General features: G+C 33.5%; 1 protein-coding gene across 64 annotated transcripts in view, besides 2 other annotated features; it reads right to left on the bottom strand.

The window, feature by feature from the left end:
- The window catches only part of RIMS2 (regulating synaptic membrane exocytosis 2), a 755485-nt gene that overhangs the window by 224555 nt on the left and 518794 nt on the right, over positions 1–12136 (bottom strand). The gene's annotated exons all lie outside the window — the stretch shown is intronic.
- Positions 1751–2251: an enhancer, noted in NCBI's record as "OCT4-NANOG-H3K27ac hESC enhancer chr8:105041517-105042017 (GRCh37/hg19 assembly coordinates)". NCBI's record gives its function as "activates a minimal SCP1, AML or CMV promoter by ChIP-STARR-seq in primed H9 embryonic stem cells {active_cell/tissue: H9 hESC(primed)}" and the evidence as "EXISTENCE:reporter gene assay evidence [ECO:0000049][PMID:30033119]".
- Positions 2225–2519: a silencer, noted in NCBI's record as "tiled region #520; HepG2 Repressive non-DNase unmatched - State 24:Quies, and K562 Repressive non-DNase unmatched - State 24:Quies". NCBI's record gives its function as "represses a minimal TATA promoter and a strong SV40 promoter by Sharpr-MPRA in HepG2 and K562 cells {active_cell/tissue: HepG2 | K562}" and the evidence as "EXISTENCE:reporter gene assay evidence [ECO:0000049][PMID:27701403]".

The following is a 12136-nucleotide window of genomic DNA, read 5'->3' as shown; positions in this document are numbered from 1 at the left end:
CAGTTAACATTTTAAATATAGAAATGTGACATTAAAATTTTGCTTAATAGATTTCAAATTCCAAAGCACAAAATTTACTTCTAGTATATCCCAAACTTCATTTTCAATAAAATGAATGCAGTCAAGGTATGAATAAACTAATAATTAAAATGGTTTGACAAGGTCTTTTCTTAGTTTATGTTAAATAATACATACTAGCTTATTTTAGAAATAAGCATTTTACTAAACTTTGTTTTATTGTGATGAAATGAAATGTTTATATAGAATTACAATGTAGAAATTTTGAAACATCAAGAGAAAATTCATAAATACATTTCAATACATGAGATAAAACGGCTATTTTATTACCATATTTAGTATCTTCATAAATGACAAACATTTATATGCTATGAGATATTATTTTGATAAAAATCTTGATAAAGGAAGACAAAGATATTTAGTAGTAACAGCTTGGTATCATTGAATATGAGTTACTTGGCTCATCTAAGATTATCTACAATTATTTCTCATGTGGTTAACAATCATTCATTTAATAAATATATATTCAGCACCTACTATAATCCAGGCATGTCTGGGTACAGGGATATAACAACAAACAAAACAGGCAAAACCCCATACATTCATAAAGTTTATATTTTAATGGGAGAGAGTGATTATAAACAAGATAAGTAAAATATACTATGACCTAAATATTGATAAATGCTAAAAAGACAAACAAAGTAGGTAAGAAGGAAATAAAATATCCAGAGGTAATGAAATTTTTGATAAGGCAGGAAGGGAAGTCTTCTCTAAGAAGGCAACTTTTGAGTACAGAACTTAAGATAGTAAGGGAGTTAGCCATATGGTTATTTAAAGAGAAGGTATTCCAGGCAGAGGAGCAGCATGTGCAAATGTCCTGAGTTAGAAGCATGTCTGATATGTTCCAGAAAAGCATGGAGGTCACTTTGGCTGGGGCATAACAAACAAAGAAAAAAGTAATAGATAAGATTGAAGTAGTAATGGAGATGGGAAGTGGGGGAGCACAGGTCATGTAGGGCCTTATAGGCCATGGAACAAAAGATTCACTGGCCACCATTTAATCTTATTCTCATAGTAGCATTCACAAATAATTATATATCTTATAACTTGTCTTTCTTTTTATTTATATGTTTCTAAAGCCATACTATAAGTCAATTAGTTATTAATTATATATATTTGATTTTTATTTAAGAAATATTTTAGCCACACGATCTTGCTATGTTGCTCAGGCTGGTCTTGAACTTCTGGTCTCAAGTTATCCTCCCGCTTCAGCTTCCCGAGTAGCTGGGATTATGGCATGAGCCACCTTGCCAGGCTCTATGTGTATTTTAATCCCTATAGAGTTTCACCATGCCATACACAATGCTCTGGTATCCTATCTACCTTTAGCCATAAATAGTGGAATACTAACATATTTTATAATATCAAGCTAAGTAAAACATAACTGGAAAGATGAAACCACTGCCAAAAATGGAAAAATATGCTATACTGTAACATCAAATATAGGTGATTTTGGATACACTACTGCTCCCTGATCAGCATTAATCTGCGGTAATGCAAAAAACAACAGAGTATTTCCCCCACGTTGGGAAAAATAATCTCATTAATATTAAAGTATTTGTTGATTCTGAATTACCTACACTTTTTGTTATCTACGAATAATTAAGAAAGATTTTACAAGTGTTACAGAGTTGTTCCCAAAATCAAATGCTACATGGTTATCATTTTTAAAAGCTATTTCACCTTTTGCCATTTCATAAATTTGTGATGTTCCAAAAAATAGATGACATTCTATCTTCTGAAGCAAGATTGAGTACACAGAAGAAGAAATAGGCTGTTTTAAAAATAGTCAGCCTATCTGTAAATTGGCAGACAGCATTTTCTGAAATGTGGAGGAAAAAATAAACCTTTGAAATTAGCAAATATTTGTTGAAAAGTAACATATGCTGGTAACAGAAAAGTTCCAATAACCATAAATTTATGAATATCAGCTTAAGACAATGAAAGAACTAGATCAAAGCTATCAATGATTGATAGAAAAGGTAATATATATGTCACCATATTGAGCCAGGAAAGCTGGCTGGTCGGAATATCTCTGCCATTAACTAGGCCTATAACTTTAGGCAAGTTTTGTCAGAAGAATTTGAACCAGAGCAACTGCATGTTGAATAGGGGCTGGGTAAAATAAGGCTGAGATTTGCTGGGCTACATTCCCAGGATGTTAGGCATTCTAAGTCACAGGATGAGACAGGAGATCATGAAGACCTTGCTAATAAAACAGCATGCAGTAAAGAAGCCAGCCAAATCCCACCAAAACCAAGATGGCAACGAGAGTGACTTCTTTGTCCTCACGGTTCATATGCTAGTTAGAATGCATTAGCATGCTAAAAGGCACTTACTCCAGTGCCATTTCAGTTTACAAATGGCATGGCAATGTCAGGAAGTTACCCTATATGGTCTAAAAAGGGGAGAATCCCTCAGTTCTGGGAATTGTCCACCCCTTTCTTGGAAAATTCATGAATAATCCACCTCTTGTTTAGCATATAATCAAAAATAACCATAAAAATAGGCAACCAGCAGCAGGCTGCTCTGCCTATGTAGTAACCATTCTCTATTCTTTTACTTTCTTAATAGACTTGCTTTCACTTTGTGGACTTGCCTTGAATTCTTTCTTGTTTGAGATACGAGAATCCTCTCTTGGAGTCTGGATCAGGGCTCCCTTCCAGTAACATCTTGATAACCTCTATGACATCTAGATTTGTTATATTTGATGGGATAAAGCTGGTCTTGAAAATTTATAAGGTTATTTCCACCTCTAAAATTACTCTTACATCTTTTGATCTTAAGTTGATTTGTCAAATGGGATTTTATAGAAGAGTACCTATAACAGAGATGGTGAAATTGAGGCACTGAGAGTTTACAAGATTTTCCAGAAGTTCCAAATGTGGCTACTATTAAGCTTTATACTGAAACTCAAGCATCTATTTTTAAAACATAATTAAAGTCATAAAAAGAACAGAATTAATTAAAATGGCATGTAATTAAAAGTTAATTTGTTTTTAAAATTCAATAAAATACAGAAGAACAAGCTTTAAGATTTGAAATTCTTAAATGATCATTATATGTATCCCATCTTTAACTTGTAGATTAAAGCTTGATTTAATAAATATTAGGTAATTTGAAGAGTGATTATATTCATGGAGACTTAACTAAGAGGTGACTTTTTAGTAAGTAATATTTAAGAAACCCATACATCTGCAAAGTAATTATATTCTAGCTAGTCTTCATCACAACATGTAGCAAATTCTATCTGAACACTATAATTTAAAGAGCATACAGTTTGAGACCAGCCTGGACAACATAGGTTCTCTTTCTTTAGATCTTTTTTTTTTTAGAGATTCTATCTCTAAAAAAACTTTTAAAAATTAGCCAGGCATAGTGGCATATGCCTGTAGTTCAGCTACTTGGAAGGCTGAGGTGTGAGAATCAGTTGAGCCCAGGAGGTCAAGGCTGCAGTGAGTTATTATCACACCATTCCACTCCAGCCTGAGTGACAGTGAGACCCTTTCTCTAAATAAAATAAAATAGCATAAATTCATTTATTAGTAAGATTTGTATAATATTATATGTTCCAATATGCTTTCACAGATGGCATCACATTTGACCCTACAAAACACAGATGGGACCTTCTATTAGGTGGTTTATACAGGTGAGAAAATAGAACTGACAGATAAGGATAAGCACTGAAAAATTATCTTAGTTTACAATTTCATACTCATTACATCACTTGATTTTCATAGTAGCATACTGGGAATGAGAGAAATATGTTACAATTTCCTTTTCTCAGATGAACTAACTTGGGGCAAGGGTCTAGAGTCACACAGTTAGTACATTGTAAAGCAGGCCCTGAGGCAAAGTTTCAAGAACTACACTCTTTCTCTTGTATCATATCACCTTCCTAAGATTAAGTTACTTTCAACAACAAAGAGAAGATGATTTAAGGATTGCATTTAGGAAGTCAACAATGATATGGCCTTGAAGAATGACTAAGTTTGCAGGAAGGTATGAGGTGAAAGGGAGTTCTTTTCTAAATTTGTTTAGTCAGTTGGGACTTTCGAAGCATAGAAGAAATAAGATGAGAAAAGGGAAACAAAAGTAAATTAAAGGGGAAAGGCTCCCAGAATGAAAGGAAAGGTTAGGAAAAGAAATTAGAAATATTCATTTACAAGTATTTCACTTAAACAACAGGTACACTTAAGTTTATGGATTATGAATGGGGAGAGGAAATCTTAAGTGCATTCCTTCCTCTTTATTCCAACCTCTGCTTTAGTTCAGGCCATCAAATACCGGATGACTGAATTGCCCTAAATGGTCCTATGCCCTCAGTTTCTCCTCTTTCAAGTCCATCTTGCTTGCTGTCACCAAGTTACTTTTCTTAATACAGATGTGACTGAATGTCCATCCTGCTCAAAAACATATGATAAATCCCTTGGTATTTTAAAGTATCCCTGAATCTCTCTCATATTAATTTTGGACACATGGTCATTTATCTAAGTTGGGAGGGAATGATATACTTAGGAAATATCCACCAATTCCACCATAAAATCCATTCCTAGCTACATATTAATCAAATTTGGAAATTAAGATATGGGTGCTAACATTCTCCCTGCCCTAGTAGCATTCATGAGAATAGAAAGAGGCAACAAAACAAAGCCAAGCTCCTTCATCACTGTTGTATCCTGTCACCCTAAATGGTATCCAATACCTAGAATGCCTGCAGAAGCAATCATTAATTACAAAGACTGTCAAAATAACTATCACTTTTGGTTCCTTTGTAAACTTTTTAAATATGTTTGTTTGTTTTTATTTTTCCCCCTCTCCTCTTTCCATTTCTTTCTTTCTTATTTATAAGGTTATCTGTATTTGAAACAATGTAGAAATTGTACACATTAAAGGAACACAATTTTTTTTTCCATCTCATTGTGTATTTTCAGGGATCTGACTTTTTAATAGGTGATACGGTAGGCTTTAGTCTATATAATCCTGGCAAAGAATTAATCACTAACAGCCAATTAGGAAGGTTGTAGATGTTAACTTTCCAAAACCAAACAAAATTAACAAACAATAATGAAACATAAACAATAAAATGGAAACAAAACTATTTGAGACTTTAGACTTTATCAGCCACATCTCCAAAAATTCTTACTTTTTGTTAAATCCTAATGGATTAAACAGTTCTCTGGCCTAGAGAAAAGTATCCTAAAATTTGCATATTGATTTTTACACATGCATTGAAATATGTAGAAATGTATTAGCACATTATGAAATAACTTATACTGCAATCCAATTCTATTTATTTCCACCCTGGTATTGTTTCTTATGCAAGTCATTTGATTAAAAATAGCATCATGATTACTAATTTCCAAAAATCTACTAAACTATATACAGTCATACATTGCTCAACGACAGGGATATGTTCTGAGAAATGCATTGTTAGGTGATTTCGTCATTGTGCAAAGATTACAGAGTGTACTCACACAAACCTAGATGGGGTAGCCTATTATATACCTAGGCTATTTGATATAGCTTATTGCTCCTAGACTACAAACCTGTACAGCTTGTTACCATACTAAATACTGCAGGCAATTACAACACAATAAGTATATATGTATTTAAACATATCTAAATATAGAAAAGGTACAGGAAAAGCACAGTATGATAATATTATGAGACTATTGTTGTATATGGAGTCTGTTATTGACCAAAACAGCATTATGTGGTACATTACTGTGTGTGTGTGTGTGTGTGTGTGTATACGTTTAACAACTGCTTCAGGGTGATCATAATCAGACTTAATTTGACTTCAAATATAAAACAAAAATTTTCAGATTTTGTGCCACAAATACAAAATTATAGCAAGACATTACTAAGAAATTACAGTAATAACTAACATTTATATAGTAATTATTATGCAACAAGTATCGTTTCACTTCATCTTCCCAACTTCAAACTTTTTTGTTTGTATATTTGCTTTACAGACAGAGTCACCCTCTGTCACCCAGGCTGGAGTGTGGTGGTGCAGTCACAGCTCACTGGAGCCTCAAACTCCTGGGCTCAGCGATCTTCCTGCCTCAAGCTCCCAAGTAGCTGGGACTAGAGGTGTGCAACACTATGCCTGCGTAATTTTTAAATTTTTTTGTTTTTGGTAGAGGCAGGGTCTTATTAGGTTGTCCAGGCTGGTCTCAAACTCCTTTCCTCAAGCAAGTCTCCTAAAGCTTTGGGATTACAGCTGTGAGCCACTGCACCTGGCCTATTATGTGACAACTATTTGTTCTAAGCAATTTTAACATACCAAGTTATTTTAAAAAGTAGATTTATAGCATATCTACACGGCAAATAATAAAATTTAGAATGAACAGATTTTGCCATTATAACCCTTCCAAGACAACTAGCACTCTACCACATCTTTCAGCATCCTTTTTCCTACACTTGATTTTCTCCACCCACTTGCTTTCTATGAAGATTTGTATGTGACAATAGCTTGGGATAGTGCCCTCAGGAATATTTATATTTCAGTGTTCCAGAAAGGCTAAAAGCTTTGTATTATGAAAATAAGCCATTAGGTAATAGCGGAATATGAAATACTATGACAGGTAATAGGAGAAATATTTAGGACTGAAAACCTACCCAGAACCTCTCAAAACTTACCTTCTCCTTATAAAATTGACCCTGAATATGTACCACAATCTTAAGACACTTTATATAAGTTACACATTATAGAGTAATTTTACCAGCTATGTTTTATTTCTTATCATTATATTATTTTTTCCCTTGGGAGCTCCCCAAAGGCAAGAAATATATCTTGTTCATCTTTGCATCCTCAATGGCTACCTAATACAACACATTTAAAATAGCAGACATTGGTTGAACTACATCTTTAGCTAATGTCTAAAAACAACAACAACAACAACAACAACAACGAAACCGGTTGAAGTCCATGCAAAGAGAACACAATCTACAACAGTGTCATAGAATGCTATGAAGAGGCATGGTATATCAACACATGAGATTAACAGTCTAGACTACAGATCTGCTGCTATGTGGATTGAAGAAAGGTAGTTATCCTCCAGAATTCTCCTCCTTTATCTATAAGGGAAAATAGTTTTAACAAAAGATTTATAATGTCCCTTCCAAATCTAAAAGTCTTTGATTCTAAATCAAGGAGCTAAGTCACAGAACACTGATAGATATCTTGGTAAACTACAAGCAAAAGGTTCGAGGCCACGTGGCATTACACAGCCAAGTGGCAGACCTGGATCAGAAGAAGCCAAGTGAACAAGAAGTTTCCCACATATCCTTCATGTATTCTGTTTCTTTGACCTCTCCTCACGGCTCTAGATATTTTTCTTTTCTTCCCTTTACAGCCTTTCAAAGGTGTCTGCACTTGCTGTCTCCATTCCTCTCTTTCCTTGAATCCCCTCTAATCAGTCCTTTAGCCCTTATCACTCCACTGAAACTGCTCTTAATAAAGGTCAACATAGTGACTTCCTACTTGCTAAGTCCGATAATCATTTCATATTCTTGATAAATTCTCTCCTTCAAGTAATTTCTTAACTTGTCCCTCTTCTCCCACTTTTTTCATCTCTGGTTGCTTCATCTTCCCAACTTCAAAATATCAAAGTGGTCCAGTTTACACTTCTTGGACCTCTTCATTATCTACCTACATGTGTCCACTTGTCCTCTTGATAACCAGTCTTACGGTGGTAAATACCTCTTTATAAGGATGAGTCCCAGATTTATAGCTACAGTCCACACCTCTAATATGAAATGTAGACCATATTTAATTTGGCATCTTCACTTGGATGTCTAACAGCATCTCTAACTTATCATATCCAAAACTGAGCACCTGATATTCCCACTCAACCTATTATTCTCAAGTATTTCCCTGTATTAGTTAATAGAAACTCCATTATTTTTCTATTCAGGCTAAAAACCTGGATGTCATTATTGAATCTTTCTTTCTCTTTTACCTTGTTAGGAAATTTTGTTGGCTCTATCTTCAATATCTATTCAGAATCCAGCTACTTATACTGCTATCATGCTGGTCTAAGCCACTATCATCTCTTTCCTGGGTTAGTGCAAAACCTTCTAACAATGTTCCCTGTTTGCAATCTTAATTCTTCAGGGTATTCTCAATGTAGTAATTGACATCATCTTACTAAAAAAAAAAAAAGTGGTATTGTGTCACTTTAATCCAAACTTTCCCATTTTATGTGATAAAAACCAAAATCCTAAATATGATCTGTAAGTTCATATATGAGTCACCCCTCTAGCTTCAACTATCCTTCTGACTGCACCTGCTACAACAATATACTTTAACATATCCACGAAATGCTTTAACCAATTAAAAAAACAATGTCCTCCCTTAAACTTACTCATGAACTTTATTGTGATACATAAAATAAACTGTAAATAAAAAGCCATTCTCTCAGAAGATAGCAAAAGGACAAACTGAATAACCAAATCTTAATTACAGGTAAATAATCAAAATATTAAGCCAAGTTAAACCAAGTTAGCGTATGTGAAATATGTACAGAGTTCTCATCTTACAAATTTATTCATTAATTTCTAGGTTCAACTATATCATATGTTGGATTGATTTATATAGCAATAGCAATATTTTGCAGTGGAGAGGATTTCATATAAATGATAAAAACAAATTTATAAGTGTGTGTATAAAAACAAATTTATAACTGAGGTTCCAATAATCATTGTCACTAGAAAACTTTACATGTGAAACTGCCTGTGCAAAATCAAGACATTAAGAGAAATCTGAGGCTGGGAGTGGTGGCTCACACCTGTAATCCCAGCACTTTGGGAGGCCGAGACGAGGCGGGAGGATCACCTGAGGTCAGGAGTTTGAGACCAGCCTGGCCAAGGTAGTGAAACCCGTCTTTACTAGAAATAGAAAACTTAGCTGGGTGTGGTGGCAGGCACCTGTAATCCCAGCTACTCAGAAGGCTGAGGCAGGAGAATCCCTTGAGCCGGGAGGGGGAGGTTGCAGTGAGCTGAGACTGTGCGCCACTGCACTCCAGCCTGGGCGAGAGAGCAAGACCCTGTCTTAAAAAAAACAAAAAAAGAGAGAAATCTGACACAGTTGACCCCATCTTGCTTCTAATCTCCAAGCTGTCTTTAATCATTCCTGTGTGTGGGAGGAATTTAATTTATAGTTTAACTTCAAAGCAAGGATAAAAACAGCCCTTCCCCAAAACAAAACTGCCTTTGTAAAACCAATCAAAGGCCATAAAGTTAGGATTATGAGACGGGCCTGACTTCTGCTAAAATGTAGGCTTAAATAATAACCAGCCATTGTTCCAGATGTCACAAGATTTTAACTTCTCCAGTTACTTCTGTAGATAACATCACTATTGTAAACCTAATATGGTCTTTTGAGATATTTTTCAGACTTTTGCATTTTGGAGGATTGACTGATTCCATCCAGACCTGCGACTGATGACTGAATCCACATCCTGTGGCCCCCACCCAGAGATTAACTCAGCACATAAGAACCATTTTCCACAGCCTTACAATTTCATCCCCGACCAATCAACATTCCCCATTCCCTACTCCATGCCCACCAAACTATCTTTGAAAAGCCTTAATCTCTTAGCCTTCAGGGAGACTGGTTTGAGTGACTCTAACTCGTTATTCTGCCTGCAGTACCACTGTCTTAATGAACTGGTTTTGTCTGTGCGGGAGGCAGGAAGAATCTGTCATGGTAATTGCACATGCAAGATCATAGGAAATAAGAAGAAAGCATAACAGTCTGAAGGTAAAAGATGTGAAAGTATTCAGGGCCAACTAGAAGTCAAGAAGACAAAAAAACCTTATGATAATACTTCCTCAGTTAGTTAAAATATTTAGCCTAGTGAGTTCATGTGAAAAGATACGATCTTGACACATTTAAATGCACCTAAATACAAAATGGCATTAAATGTTCTCAAAACTTGTTGAATATTTAGGAAGATATATTTATTATTTCAGATTGCCGACATATATTTAAGTACATATCAACATTTCCTTTCATAATTACTAATCAAAAATCATGGAGCTCGTGAAATAGGTAAAAATGACAAATATGTAAAAACATGTTGAGATGTTGAGAAGTCATTTAAATGTTTATTGTCTTATGAATACTATTCATATTTACATGATTTAACTTTATTTTGTTACATTATCTTTTAAATCATATTCTAGAATGTGCATTAAAGAATAATTAATACTTCGCAGTAAGAAAAACTGTATTTTAGTGTTAATTAGGTTTTACAAATAACACTGTAGACATTCTTTATAAAAGATGAAGACAGGGAAGAATACATTCAAGACTAAAAACCATTTCAATGAAATTAATGAAGCATAAAACTACTTATTTCTTAATTTGGTCCAGTAATGGGCCAAATTTTATGATATAGAACGGGATGTTACTTTTTTGATAAAATCATTTTAAAATGCTAATATTCTAAATCAATATATGTAGACATATTTGATTATCAATTACTGCAAAACATACACAGTCCTACCATTTTGATAGAATTTGGTTGTGGTAGATTACAGAATTATGTCAGCAATAATTATAGGAAAATCAAATCTAAGTATTAAAATCAATCATCTTTTTACTTTCCAGGCAATATTAATTCATGTGTATAGAACTATGAAAAATCTACAAATGTTATAAATCTTCCTTTTATATTATTGTTTAACTTATGATTAAATTTGTCTCATTTTCTACTTTAAACTTCTACTTTAAAATGTTTTTAAAATAATTCAATTTTAAAACAATTTCTGGATTGAAAAATATCCATGCTGTGATTTTGTAAATGTATAACATGACCACTAGTATCTTCCTCAGAATCCTTTCCCTTAACATGATCAACAAAGTAAATCTTCCAATTTTAATGCCATTACATTCAATAAAATAGAATTGCATCAGAATCATTAAAGGTAAGTATTTTGAAGACTAATTTCATATTCAGAAATAAAAAAGAATAGACATTTTAAATACTGGATAACTTAAATTGAGACTAATACTTATGCTTATTTTAAAAAGCATATTCAAATATATTACAAATGTCAGTATGGAGTGTCTAATATCTAGAAAGACACCATAAACTTCATTTTAAGACTTGCCTTTTTTCCCATTAGTAGGTGGTGTTGATGTTTCTCCCTCATTGTCTTTATAATATTGAAAATAGACAATAGTGATTAATGATTAAGATCATTAATAACCAAAATAAAAACCAAGCACATCAAAAAAGATGAAATCACACAATAGGGAAACAAATCCATGCACTAAACATGACACTCTGTATTAATGAACACAAGAGAAAAGTATATACTTCCTATCTCATAGGAAAAGTAAAAAAAACCAAATAAATGAAAAATCATTTTTATAGTATATGGTTATGCTTTTATGTTAATTTAAAAACTGATGCAACTTACTAATTACTTTTGACAATAAAACAGCAGCAACAAACTGGTTTAGCACATGGGCTTCTTTATCTTAATGAATTTAAAATAAATAAAAGTGATATTAACTATTGCTGAAGTCCCCAAACTAATGCTACCTTAAAAAATGACTTTAATGTGGAAGACAATTAACAGTGTGAAAGGCTGCAGTGTTTGTATGGACTATATGAGATACAGAGGAATGAGCTAATGGGAAAACATTAACTTAACAGCTAAGCTAAAATGAAATTCATTCTTATAGTATTCCATAAAAATGCAATTCCTAAATTATTGCAGGAAAATGGAAGAAGGGTGACATTCTAAAAGTTAGATAGTAGATATTCAGAACCAAAGCAATTCTACATGTCTAGAAATATGCAATTAAACTTGCCTGTTTCCATTACAGATGACTGATGATATTTGTCGCCTTTATGACATTAAAAAGTTACTGATAATGAGTAATTCTAGTAGCTTAAGAGATGTTTTCAGTTGTAAAACTAAAAACTCCATTGAGAGAATGCTTCCATGAAAATATATCTTATGTACAATATATGTAATGGCATTGCTTTCACACCATGAAAACCAGAGGAAAAAAAGGCACAAAAAGTACACT

This window comes from Homo sapiens, chromosome 8, assembly GCF_000001405.40.
Source record: "Homo sapiens chromosome 8, GRCh38.p14 Primary Assembly".
Lineage (NCBI taxonomy): Eukaryota > Metazoa > Chordata > Mammalia > Primates > Hominidae > Homo > Homo sapiens.
The sequence above is the reverse complement of the archived record's forward strand: the minus strand, read 5'-3'. Positions and strand labels throughout refer to the sequence as shown.